The following is an 11,966-nucleotide window of genomic DNA, read 5'->3' on the forward strand; positions in this document are numbered from 1 at the left end:
ATTCTTTTTTTTATTTTTCCATAGGTTATTGGAGTACAGGTGGTATTTGGTTACGTGAGTAAGTTATTTAGTGGTGATTTGTGAAATTTTGGTGCACCCATTACCCAAGCAGTATACCCTGCACCCTATTTGTAGTCTTTTATTATCCCTCATCCCCGCACTCTTCCCGCCAAGTCCCAAAGTCCATTGTATCATTCTTATGACTTTGCGTTCTCATAGCTTAGCTCCCACATGTCAGTAAGAACATACAATGCTTGGTTTTCCATTCCTGAGTTACTTCACTTAGAATGATAGTCTCCAATCTCATCCAGCTTTTGGGTTCTTGATCATGAAATCCTTACCTAAGCGAATGTCTAGAAGAGTTTTTCCGATGTTATCTTCTAGAATTTTTATTCAAGCCTTAGATTTAAGTCCTTACCTAAGCCAATGTCTAGAAGAGTTTTTCCGATGTTATCTTGTAGAATTTTTCTTCAAGCCTTAGACTTAAGTCCTTACTCCATCTTGAGTTGATTTTTGTGTAACGTGAGAGATAAGGATCCAGTTTCATTCTCCTACATGTGGTTAGCCAATTATCCCAGCACCATTTGTTGAAAGGGTGTCCTTTCCCCACTTTTTATAGCAGTACTATGCTGTTTTGGTGACTATGGCCTTATAGTATAGTTTGAAATCAGGTAGTGTGATGCCTTCAGATTTGTTCTTTTTGCTTAGTCTTGCTATAAGGTAGAAGGAGTACCATAAAGTAGTCTATTCCATTAGTATGCCTATTCCACTGCTTATGTGCCAGGCACTGTTTCAAACACTTTACAATTATTAACTCATTTTGTAATCACAACAACTTTATGAGGTGGAAACTATTATTATCCCAAGTTGGGACATGAAAAAACTGAGGTAGAGACAGCTGAAGTAAAGTCACACCAAATGCTAGTAAGTGATAGAGCATAGGTTCAGAATTTGAACCTGTATAATCCGTAATCTGACTTCAGTCTCTAAGACCCTATACTGTTTCTACTGCTTGCTAATCCAGTCCTCTGATGATATATTGTTAGATTCTTTAAGTATTATAAAATATGGTTCAAATATTTCTGACAAAATAGAGGAACATTAACTCCTTAGGGTGTAATAAAGTTTTAGATCCTGTTTAGAACTTTAGAAAGATGAGCGTAACATCAATTTTTGTTAAATTCATTGGCAAATTCTGCCTAGGCAAATTAAGAAGTTCAAGGTGCAGAGTGGATTGTTCGGTCAGAAGTATTTAGCTCGTAGTTCACAAAGATTATTTCCAAATGACATACTCAAAATGTTACATGTTCAGGTATGGACTATAAAAGACTCAGTATTGTCTCATGGCCAATCTGTTTTGTATAAGAACTTGACTCTGGCATGTAATTACAAATTGATACATTTTCATAGTGGATGGGTGATTCATTATGATTATTGAAATGTTTGGAAAATAGAGATAAATGATTACAAATGACATAGATAATTAAAGATGGGTTAGTGGAGTAACCTTTTAAAAATCAATGCATATGGATCTTTTGATATATTGATCCACTTTTGCCTCTAGGAAATTTGAATAAAAAATACTGTAGAATTAAGAAATATAAATTAGTGTGTATATTTCTTCTGATTTTTGCATGATGCCTATATTAGTTAGCATAATTAGCCAACTGTAAGTACCTTAAGTGGGGAGGGGGTTTGGGGGTGGAGGGGGAGACTTTTAGGCTCCTGTCACTAAGAAGTTTCAGACCACTTGTGCTGACATCAAGTTTCTGACCCTGTATCTCTCTTTGTCTGTCTTTCTCCCTACGTTACAAAACGTGTTCCTGTCGTGTTGGTTTTATCAGGACAGATCTCATATATCGCAGCAACAAAGATGGCCCCCAGGAGTTCCATGGACCCTTATTTCTCATCATTTAGAAGGAGAAAGCACCTCTTTCCTCAGTTCCTCTCTTCAGGACTCCCAGTACCCCTGCTTCTGGTGACAGCCCATGGCAGGTGGGGAGGACGTGCAGATGGAAAGAATGAGAAGGGCAGGTGAGGCAAACGAGCAGATGCCCCCTGCAACTGCTGAACGATTTGCAAACAAAATCTATTTAAACTTCTTCTTGGGATAATTCACTATCTTTTTTTTTTTAATTCAAATTGCTCCAAAGTAGAAAGGATAGTCCTTTTCAAAGATAGGAACTCCATAAGAGAGTAAAAGTTAATACAATATAATAAAATGAAATAAAAGATGGGAAATCCAGGAAGTGTTTTGTAAGTAACGTAGATGCTGATATATACTAAAAATATTAAGTGTTGGCTATATCATGGCCTTCCAAGGTGAGTTTTTAAAAAGTGGTAGTAGTAGCCAGGTACATTAAAATACTTAAAAGCTTTGGAGTAAAATAAATAATCTAGATGTGTTTTCTGGCTCTCAAACTTGCTCCTGCTACTTGCTTATTGGAATTTTTTTGATTTCTTTCTTGTCATTACTTAAGCAAGGGTCTTCATCTTTCTGAGTTTTGCTTTCTTCACTTGTCAAATGGGGATAATTAGACCTTTCTTGGATGGTTGATGCAAGGGTTAAAAGAGGTGACGCACATAAAACACGTGCCAGTATAGTAGATCCGTCAGTTTTCTAGAGTGATATATATGCTGAACATAGGTTCGATTCCCCTTTTCCTTTATTAGCCATTTTTTTTTATCACTTGACAGTATTTAATGCAAATGGAAACAAAAGTAGTTTATCCAAGTAGTACAGAATATGAATAGAATTAATGATAAATTATGCTCACTGTGTTTCTGGTAATGAAAAAGACAAGCATATAAAAAAATTAATTACACCTTGTTATATGTCAGAAATCCAGTAGGAAGGAAAGACAGGACTGGACACCCACTGCGTCACAATCGCGGTGCGGCAGGCATTTTGAGAAGAGAGAATATTGGGCGTCACATTATCACTATCGTACTGTCAGTCATTGGTGACTGGGCCATATGAGGCCCTGGATAGTGCACAGCTGCTCAGCACAGCACCAAACCAAAGGACATGGCAGGATCTCATGTTTGGCCTAATTTTAAAAATTCAAAATAATATTTTCCTTCAATAGTGAAGAAAGGGGCTAAATTATCAAATTTGTACCTTTAGATTTTGTGTTTACATTTTAAAGATAACACACTTCCATGTACTCTTATTTCTCAAAAATAGGTTACTGGTAGACTGAAAATATTTTGGATACATCTGAAAAATATTTCCTTTTCCTTGCAAAATGGCAAACCTCTCTTTTAAGCCTATGGAAAGGACATTTAAATGAAAGAATTCAATAAGTGTTTAGTTTTATGGAGCTCTTACTACTTTGGGCCCACAATTAAATCACAGGTAAGGGGTTTTCATCAGAAGAAATCTCTAAGTATGATGAAAAACAACAACAAAACTGAATTAATTTACACAGCCTAACAACATATGATCATAATTTCCCTCGGATGCGGTTTATTGTTGGTAAAATTTAGAAAAACCCACATGTATCATTTTAAAGTACATCTGAAGTATATTTTCATGAAATGTACATGGTTGTGTAGTTAAATGTTTATGGGAACTTTTCATTTTTTTGCCATTCGGCCTGCTTTCAAAATATTCAAATATATTTGGCTTTTGTAACTTTGCTAATTAAACCTTCTAAAACAGATGGAATTATAGAAATTACAGGGTTTAAAATATCATCTTAATTGGTTTACGATCTATGTGACACGTAGTGCCATTCATACTGTATAAAATAGATACGAATGGCTCAAAAGAGATGGCATACCAATTAATTTCTTTTTAACTCTTTCAATTAAGTTTAGTTTTCTTCATTATTTTCTTCCTTTTTCATTAGCCTGGCTCGCAGGGAGTCTGATCAACCCTGACTGTGAAGATACAGGTTGTAAGCTGAGATCATATTGGAGAGTTTCTTTTGTGACTAAGGGATAGAGAATCTGAATTTACCTTCATTCCAAAGAAAATAAATAATCTTAAAACAAGCTTTAAGCATGCATATGGCTGTCCCCTCAAGTGATGTGTAGATTAATCTTTCTCCTTCTAATGATGATTGCCTTATGTGTGCAGGCAGCCATATTTCTCTGATTTCCTGGAATAGTCTTGATTTAAATGTCTACCTTACTGTCCCACTAAGAACACCTAGATTTGTCAGACCGCACGTTCTGATTTCTGAGTTGGGATGGGACGCTATAATCTCTCTACGTAGAATGTTGGGAGGTTGAAATAGGCTGCTTCATGTGTGTCTATGTGCCTTAAGATCAAGAATCTGGTTGAATACAACTCACCCAGACCTCTAAAGATTCCAATTTCGAGGCCACGATGAAGGCCTGTTATATAATAAACCTGCTTTACCCAGCAAAATAACATGCAGTTTTAAAAAATACCATCATACTATTTGTTGGCTACTCTTGGCTATCAAAATTAAACTCGACTGTTTCTTTCAAATATCTCAATTTGTCATTTGGATGTGATTTTAAACATACTATTCCCCTCTGTTGCCATTGTAACAGGTTTGGGCCCTCATGGGTGACAGAAAAGTACCAGAGTTCTGGTTCCTCTTTGAACACACATGTTCTCTGGGTTTCGCCTTGCAGCCCAAGAAGAGAGGAGGCTTGGAATCACCACACTTCCCACAGCAAGGTAAATCCGTGCATCAGATAACACTCAGAGCTTGGGAAATCGCCCACAGCAGGGACAGATTACCTCTTACAGTCACTATGGAGAACAATTCAAATCCTAGCTTTAATGATCCCAGATAGAGCTCTTCTCCTCCCCACCAATGTGACATTTTGCAAACATTTTATATATCAAGGAAATATTTCATTGAAACGCGCTTCTGAGAATGCCTACCAAGCCGGCTCTAGGCATCTTCCAACATTGCAGGGGTCAATTAAAAGAACCAATCAACTGTTTTTTAAAACTTTAAAATATTTTTTAAAATAGGGTTGGGGGAAAGAAAGTGGACAAAAAGTAATGTTAAATAGCATGGAGCATGACTAATGGCGCTAGCATGTTAAAATCATTGGGAAAATGTCCTTGGAAGACAAATGAATTTTCAGCAGAATAATTAACTTAATTAACAAATTTGCATGCATATTCATCAGGCTATTGAAGTCTTTCCAGCCCAGCTTGATGAGCGCTGGTGTAATAATTGTCTCATTTACATTCTGCAATCTACTACAATTTAGGACATGCAAAAAAACCCGACCTCTTCCCTTTGACTTTCTTTAGGAGCCATATACTCCTAAAAACACGGCCTTCACCCTCTCTGTGGCCTTTGGTCCAGGCCTTTTGAGAGAACCCCCAGAGACAGTTGACTGTGGTTTCCCATCCCCCAGTCTTTCCCTTCTTTCTTCTTTTTATTTTTTTCCTTTTGGCCCAAGTTCTCTGTTTCTGCCTCTGCTTGCTCTCCTGGGTAAATCTTGGCACCAGTTCTGACTTCAAATCTCTTGGGTCGCCAGACTGCATCATGTAAAAATTGCCATTTCCCTCTATCTCTGCAGGGCAATCTTTAAAGGCAGTAAGGTGTGACGCTCCAGACTGGCAGCTTGGCAAGACAGAGCCCATGGATACCAGCACACGGGAATCTGGACGGCTCACTCTGACAGCAGTCAGCACTGGGAACAAAAGGAATGGAGGGAAAAAAGCGCAAATGTATTTTTACATATTGTAGGCATATGGCCACAAGACCAGCAGAAATATATTTAATTACCAATTGCACGCATTGAGGAGAAAAACACTGGAAATGGGGGAAAAACTGTATACACAGCAATATTATTCTAATTTAACTTTTCACCTCAGTTTTTTTTTTCTTTCTTTAATTGAAAATGGAAGGGAATGTGGGTTGGAATCGCAAAGGGTTATCTTCTGGAATTCTATCAAAGGTGATGTGGGATTTTGACATGCCTTCTTTAACAGCATAACATTATAGAAAGAAATAGGAAAGTTTTCTTTTAGTTATTTTAATTATGAAATAATTTGACCAAGGCGTTTTGGGGGAGTGGGGCAGACCGGATTTGAAATATAACAGTTAGACAATCTTACTGTCATGTTAAAACTGTACTTTTGATGTTACACATTAGGCCTCAACAATTAATAACCTAATCTTGAAAAATTATATTCTTGTTCTTTTCTATGAAAGCAGAATACTTCAACCCCATTTATTGTCAGGTATTGTCCTAGCCAGTGGAGGTACAGAGGTGAATCAGATGTCATCCCTGCACTGAAGAAGCATAGCCTAGGCTGGGAGACAAATACACATATATATAATTATAATGTTATACCATTAAATTATTAAATATGTGAAAATTATCATTAGCTAAAATCACAATTATAATACACATAATACCATCTATATAAGGCAATGATGTAGCTATATGAATCCAGGGGCCATAGAGGATTGACTCTTAGTTCAGTCTGGGTGTCAGTCACACTGGAGGACCAGGGAGGAGACCTCTTCCAGGAAAAGCTGATGAAAAGGATCAGTGAGAAAAAGCCCGGGAAGAAGGCAGTTGCATTTTGCAGAATGAAGGAGTTTGGGCCAGTGTGAGCCAGCTCCCTTCCTAGGGTGCCGGCTCAGGGAGTCAGGTAATGGGGCCAGGGAAACGTGTGCCCACTGACTTGGGAAAGAGAGAGGGGCCCATACCTCCTTCTTGGCAGGAAAGAAAATCACAGCCCCGAAAAAGTAACTTGCCAGGAGCCCCCTTCTTTGTAGCATTCCTATCACTGACTTCCTGTTAGCCTGGGTCTCCTGTTCTCACCCTGCTCTTTGAAATCCTTGGTGGCCAGTGCCGGCTATGTAGGTGACCTGTGCTCCCTGGTCCCATGGAGGTTCTGCCCAGCTGACCAGCCTTGCAGTCTGTTTCTGCAGCCCAGATAATGGTTCAGAGGCATGTTAATGTGTGCTTTGCTTTATGTAGCAAATATCATCTTGAAAAGTTTTTTTGTACATTTACTTTTTTTTTGTAAAGCGACCTACATAATAAAAGCACTAGGGGAGCTGGTTATTTAAAGGAACCCTGTAGTGAATCTTTTCATAATGTAGAAGCCATTCCTTAATTAATCTTTGTTTTTCATCAGACATACCTGTGCCTCTGTGGCTTTTCTTTTTTTTTTTTTCTAAGAGGAAGCGGCCTAGGCTATAGTGCCAAGTGCGTGAGACTGAGGGCCAGGGCTTCCAGAGCGCATGCTGAGCTGTTGCTGGCTGCCACTGGGTTGAGGATGTGAGCATAACCTTGGGGTCAGTTCTATCTTCTGACAAAGGCACAATCAAATGGGCTTAGGTTCAAATCCGGGTTTTACCATCCATCGACTTCATTTGGCAATTCACTTGTTTCCTTGAATGTTAGTTCTTTACCCATGTACTGGGTGGTTACATACGTCAAATCAAAAAGTTTCTCCGAGGGCCTGGCATCATAGCTATGACTAAGGGTTTGCTTGCCCCCACTCCAATTCTACTCTGCTCCACTCTGCAACAGCCCCTTGGAGCAAGAGCCACAGCTGGACTTGTTGGGAGGAAATACTTGTTAACTTGGGACCTCCCTGCAACTGTTTCCTCAGAGGAGAGGAAATGCCCACTCTACTCCCCAGGAGGAAGGTGGATAAAAGACAATATTTTAGACTATTCTTTACCCCTGGTTACCCATGGTAAAAAGTGATTGATCTTAATAGTAAAGTTTCAGATACAGCCATCTTGGGCAGGTCTGTACATTCAAGTATGGTAGTATGGGCTGCCCTCCCCCACCGCCACACCCTCAGACAGGCCCATATGTTTTAAATTGATCCAAATCTGCTCTTTTTTTCCATATCTGAGCCCACCCCTGTGGCTCTTCAGGAGCTTTTGGTCTGAGCAAGGGTCCCACAGCCTCCCCTGATCCTGTTTCATCAGTTATAAACCTGTTGGAACATTGTGTCTGCTCAGCTTGCTAGAACTTTTTACCTCCCTATCCTCTAGCTGCTGGGGAGGGCAGACACCTGCTTGGCACCACACATGCTTTCCGGTCATCTGGTCACCTGTGGGCCTGCAGCTAGGGTGGTGGTTGTGGCTGGAGCTTAGAGCCACATCCAGTGAGGGTCACAGAGCTCCTCAGAGAAGTGCTGGGAGTGAGACTCCAACCCGCCCCAGCACTGAGGTGGGGTTGAGGGATGTGGCTGAATGACCAAGGGGATGGCCATAGACTCTATCCAGGAAGAGAAATCCCAAGGGCAGGCAGGTTAACCTGTCCCCACAAACTCATGTCCAGGCCCTGGGGTTCCCAACCCTGACTGATGAGAACCGACAGCTATACCCTTTTGGTTGGCATTTCTGAGAATTGCGTGGACAATTCTCTTCTCTTTTCTTACTGAAGGAAGGACAGATATAGAGGTGGTTCTAACTCTGGTGCTGGTATATTTGTGACTATCACTGGGATCATATTACCAGAGTAAGTTTGACCAATTTGGAGAATTGGCCTTGGAGAGGTCAACACTTAAGAGAAAGGCCAAGGCCATGGCCTGGCTCAAATGGATCCCATTTCTTGCACATGAGTTACACTGACTCAGTTATTGGAGAGCCCTCTTGTGCTTGGGTAGGAATTTGAAATGTTGAAGTAGTCATGGGTTAGGGACCTGCTGCTAATGACCCTCCTGTAACCCAAACTTAAGATACTTCTGGAAAATAGACTACATCAGAAGACTTCTAAGGTCCCTCATTCACTCATTCATCTATTCTTTTATCTGGGATTTATCAGGGACCTACCATGTACCAGGTTCTATACCACCTGTTGGAGAAACAATGGTGAATGAGTCCCTGCACTTCCAAGGCTTGCAGTCCAGTAGTAGAGAGGCAAGTGAAGACAATTAACTCGGTATGAGAAGCACAAAAGATAGATAGGGGAGCACAGACCAGGGACAGCACACCCAGTTTAGAGGGACTGGGAAACATTTCTGGAGAAAATGATCAGTAATGTTAGGTGTTTTTGTCCAGGAAAGGCTGAGGGGGGTGACAACACCCTTCCAAGAAGGCTTGCACTGTGAACAACACTGAAGTGACTTGCCCAGGGGCACTCTATAAGTAGCAGAGCCTGGATTGTTCAAAAGTGAAACCCTACGTTCTTAGTCACGTTGCTCCACTGTCAATATTGAAATGATTATTCAAGAGGCCCAACTATTGATTATAAACAATAGTGCATTGCAGATCTGGCTGCTTTCTTGGCCATGTGGGGCTTTGAGCTCTAGCCCCTAAATCAGCAGAGAAAACACAATCCAGCCACAGATGGTGGCTCACACCTGTAATCCTAGCACTTTGGGAGGCTAAGGCGGGTGGATCACCTGAGGTCAGGAGTTCGACACCAGCCTGGCCAACATGGTGAAACCCGTCTCTACTAAAAATACAAAAAAATTAGCTGAGCGTTGTGGCAGGCACCTGTAAGTCTCAGCTACTTGGGAGGCTGAGGCAGGAGAATCGCTTGAACCCAAGAGACAGAAGTTGAAGTGAGCAGAGATTGCACCACTGCACTCTAGTCTGGGTGACAGAGTGAGACTCTGAAAAAAAAAAGAAGGAAGAAAGGAAGGAAGGGAGAAAGGAAAGAGAGAAAAGAAAGAAAGAAAAAGAAAGAGGGAAGAAAGAAAAAGAAAGGAAAGAAAAAGAAAGAAAAGAAAAAGAAAGAAAAAAGAAAGAAAAAGAAAGAAAGAAAAAGAAAGGAAGAAAGAAAGGAAGAAGAGAAGAAAGGAAGAAAGAAAGGAAAGAAAGAAAGAAAGAAAGAAAGAAAGAAAGAAAGAAAGAAAGAAAAAGAAAGAAAGAAAGAGAAAGAAAGAAAAAGAAAACACAATCCAAACTATTGAGTAGTCAGGGGAGTTAGGCAGGAACAATACCGATGTTGTCTGGACCCTGAATAACATATTCCAAACAACTTTCTCATTGCCTAAGTAAGTCGAAAGTACTGTTTTGCAATTTGGTTGCAGTGTGCAAGTTTGGTTGATTTCATGTGTCTTAAAGAATTATGCTCTGTAGACACCATGTGATTACTTTTTAAAGTGAAGTGAAGTAAGAGTGATACTTAATATCACAGTATTAGGGCAATGCCTTTATAAATTAGATGCCTACTTTAAAATTTATAAAATTGTGGCACCAAATATATGTACAGTCAACCTGCTGTATCTGGAGGTTCCACGTCTGTGGATTCAACTAATCATGGATTGAAAACATTTTTACAAGATGGCTGGTCATGTCTGTCCTGAACATGTATGAAATTTTTTATTGTTATTCCCTAAACAATATAGTATAGCAACTATTTACATAACATTTACACTGTATTAGGCATTACAAATAATTTAGAGATGATTTAAAGTATACAGGAGGTTGTGCATAGGTTGTATGCAAATACCATGCCATTATACATGAGAGACTTAAGCATCTGTGGAGTTTGATATTAGCAGTAGGTCCTGGAATCAATCCTCCAGTGATACTAAGGGATAACTGTATATTCATATTCTGTCTCCTGGAAAGATATAAAATGTCTCACAACAAAAGTAATTTTTTTTAAAAATTAAGATTCAAGGAAGTAACACTAGGAAGTTCAATTTGAATGGAATATACATAAAATTTATTTCTGGGTTCCCTGGGAGCCAAAGCAAAAAGGGAAACATGAAAAAAATGCATAATTTTTTTTTATCAAAAAGGAGAAAGCAGATTCACTCCCCCTGGAAAAAAAAGTGTTTGCAAAGACAAAAATTCTAAAAATAGTAATTTAACATAGACTTAACCTTTGGAAGAAAGAAGAAACAATTCAAGGTGTTTGTAATGTAATGGATTATCATATAATCAAGAACTATGATGAAATAGAGAACACTCTTTCCTTTAAACCTAGAACAGAGAAAGAATTCCTATCAGAGAACTATTAATGGAAAGTCAGAACCACTAGGCTCTGATGTGCAGATCTAGGTTCAAAATGCAGCGCTTATTTATCTATTTAGTTATGTGTTTATGAGGCAACTATTTGTTGATTACCTAGTCTGTGCCATTCATGTTTCTAGGGCTGTGATGGAGTGATGAAAAAGAAAAAGTCCCTGCTCATAATTCACATAATGACTCCAGCACATTAATATAAAATTTTACAGTTTTAATTGTCACATGATGTGTGATGGATGAATTATGAGTTAATCAACTTACATGATACTTTATGGTTTGCAAAATGTTTTCACACATCATTACAACCCAAATCTCCTTGCAGAAGCATGGGGACATTCTAGACATAGCTCAACATTCAAATTTGGACTAATGCTCCTGGTTAAGGAGTCTTGATATATCATGAAAGTATTGGTTGTGCTTATATTTTTCCATTAAAAAGGATATGCTTAAGAGCCCATTTCAGTAATTAGGAAGAAAGTTAGCTAGCAAATGCCACAAGAGACTTTAACATACCTTGATGTGCTTAAGAGTTGAACATTGCACTCAGTGACACTTAGTTTAATGAATATCACAATTTTCTTCACATCCCATGAAGCATTGCAGGACTTTTGGCAAAATGTGAGGTCCTTCTGCTAGGCACAGCTAGGAAATACTAATAACTGTTAAATGAGAACCTCTTGTTCCTATCTTAAGGCAATGACATCATTCATATGGTTCACTCAGCCTCTCAGGCCTTTTATTCTCCTCCTTCAGCATGCCTATTGCATACAATAGGTAAAGAATTCTCCTTCTTTTCCAGTTAATTAACCCACCTGCTAATAATACTCTTCTGTCCTTGATTGATTCAGAGCAACCTCCAGCTGTCAGCCTCCTATCTAGTCAGAAGCTTTTGATGATGAAAATGGAGTCCATAAGAAAGAAATGGGCTACAAATATTAAGTGCAGGCAGGCAAGGTGCAAGTAGGGTGATATCTTATCCCAGTTTGCCCAGAATTTTATGCTTTTAGTGCTGAAGATCCCAAGTCCTGGGAACCCACTAAATAGGACTAGGAATTGTTCCCC

The 11,966-nt window shown here is 39.3% G+C and overlaps 1 long non-coding RNA gene across 1 annotated transcript; it reads left to right on the top strand.

The window, feature by feature from the left end:
• The first annotated feature begins 1,794 nt into the window (after positions 1 to 1,794).
• On the top strand, positions 1,795 to 6,999 carry LOC107986782 (uncharacterized). The gene is made up of 3 exons (XR_001745161.3): positions 1,795 to 2,034; positions 4,528 to 4,657; positions 5,521 to 6,999. It is a non-coding gene; the product is annotated as an uncharacterized LOC107986782 (long non-coding RNA).
• The last annotated feature ends 4,967 nt before the right edge of the window (positions 7,000 to 11,966 follow it).

This window comes from Homo sapiens, chromosome 7 (assembly GCF_000001405.40).
Source record: "Homo sapiens chromosome 7, GRCh38.p14 Primary Assembly".
Lineage (NCBI taxonomy): Eukaryota > Metazoa > Chordata > Mammalia > Primates > Hominidae > Homo > Homo sapiens.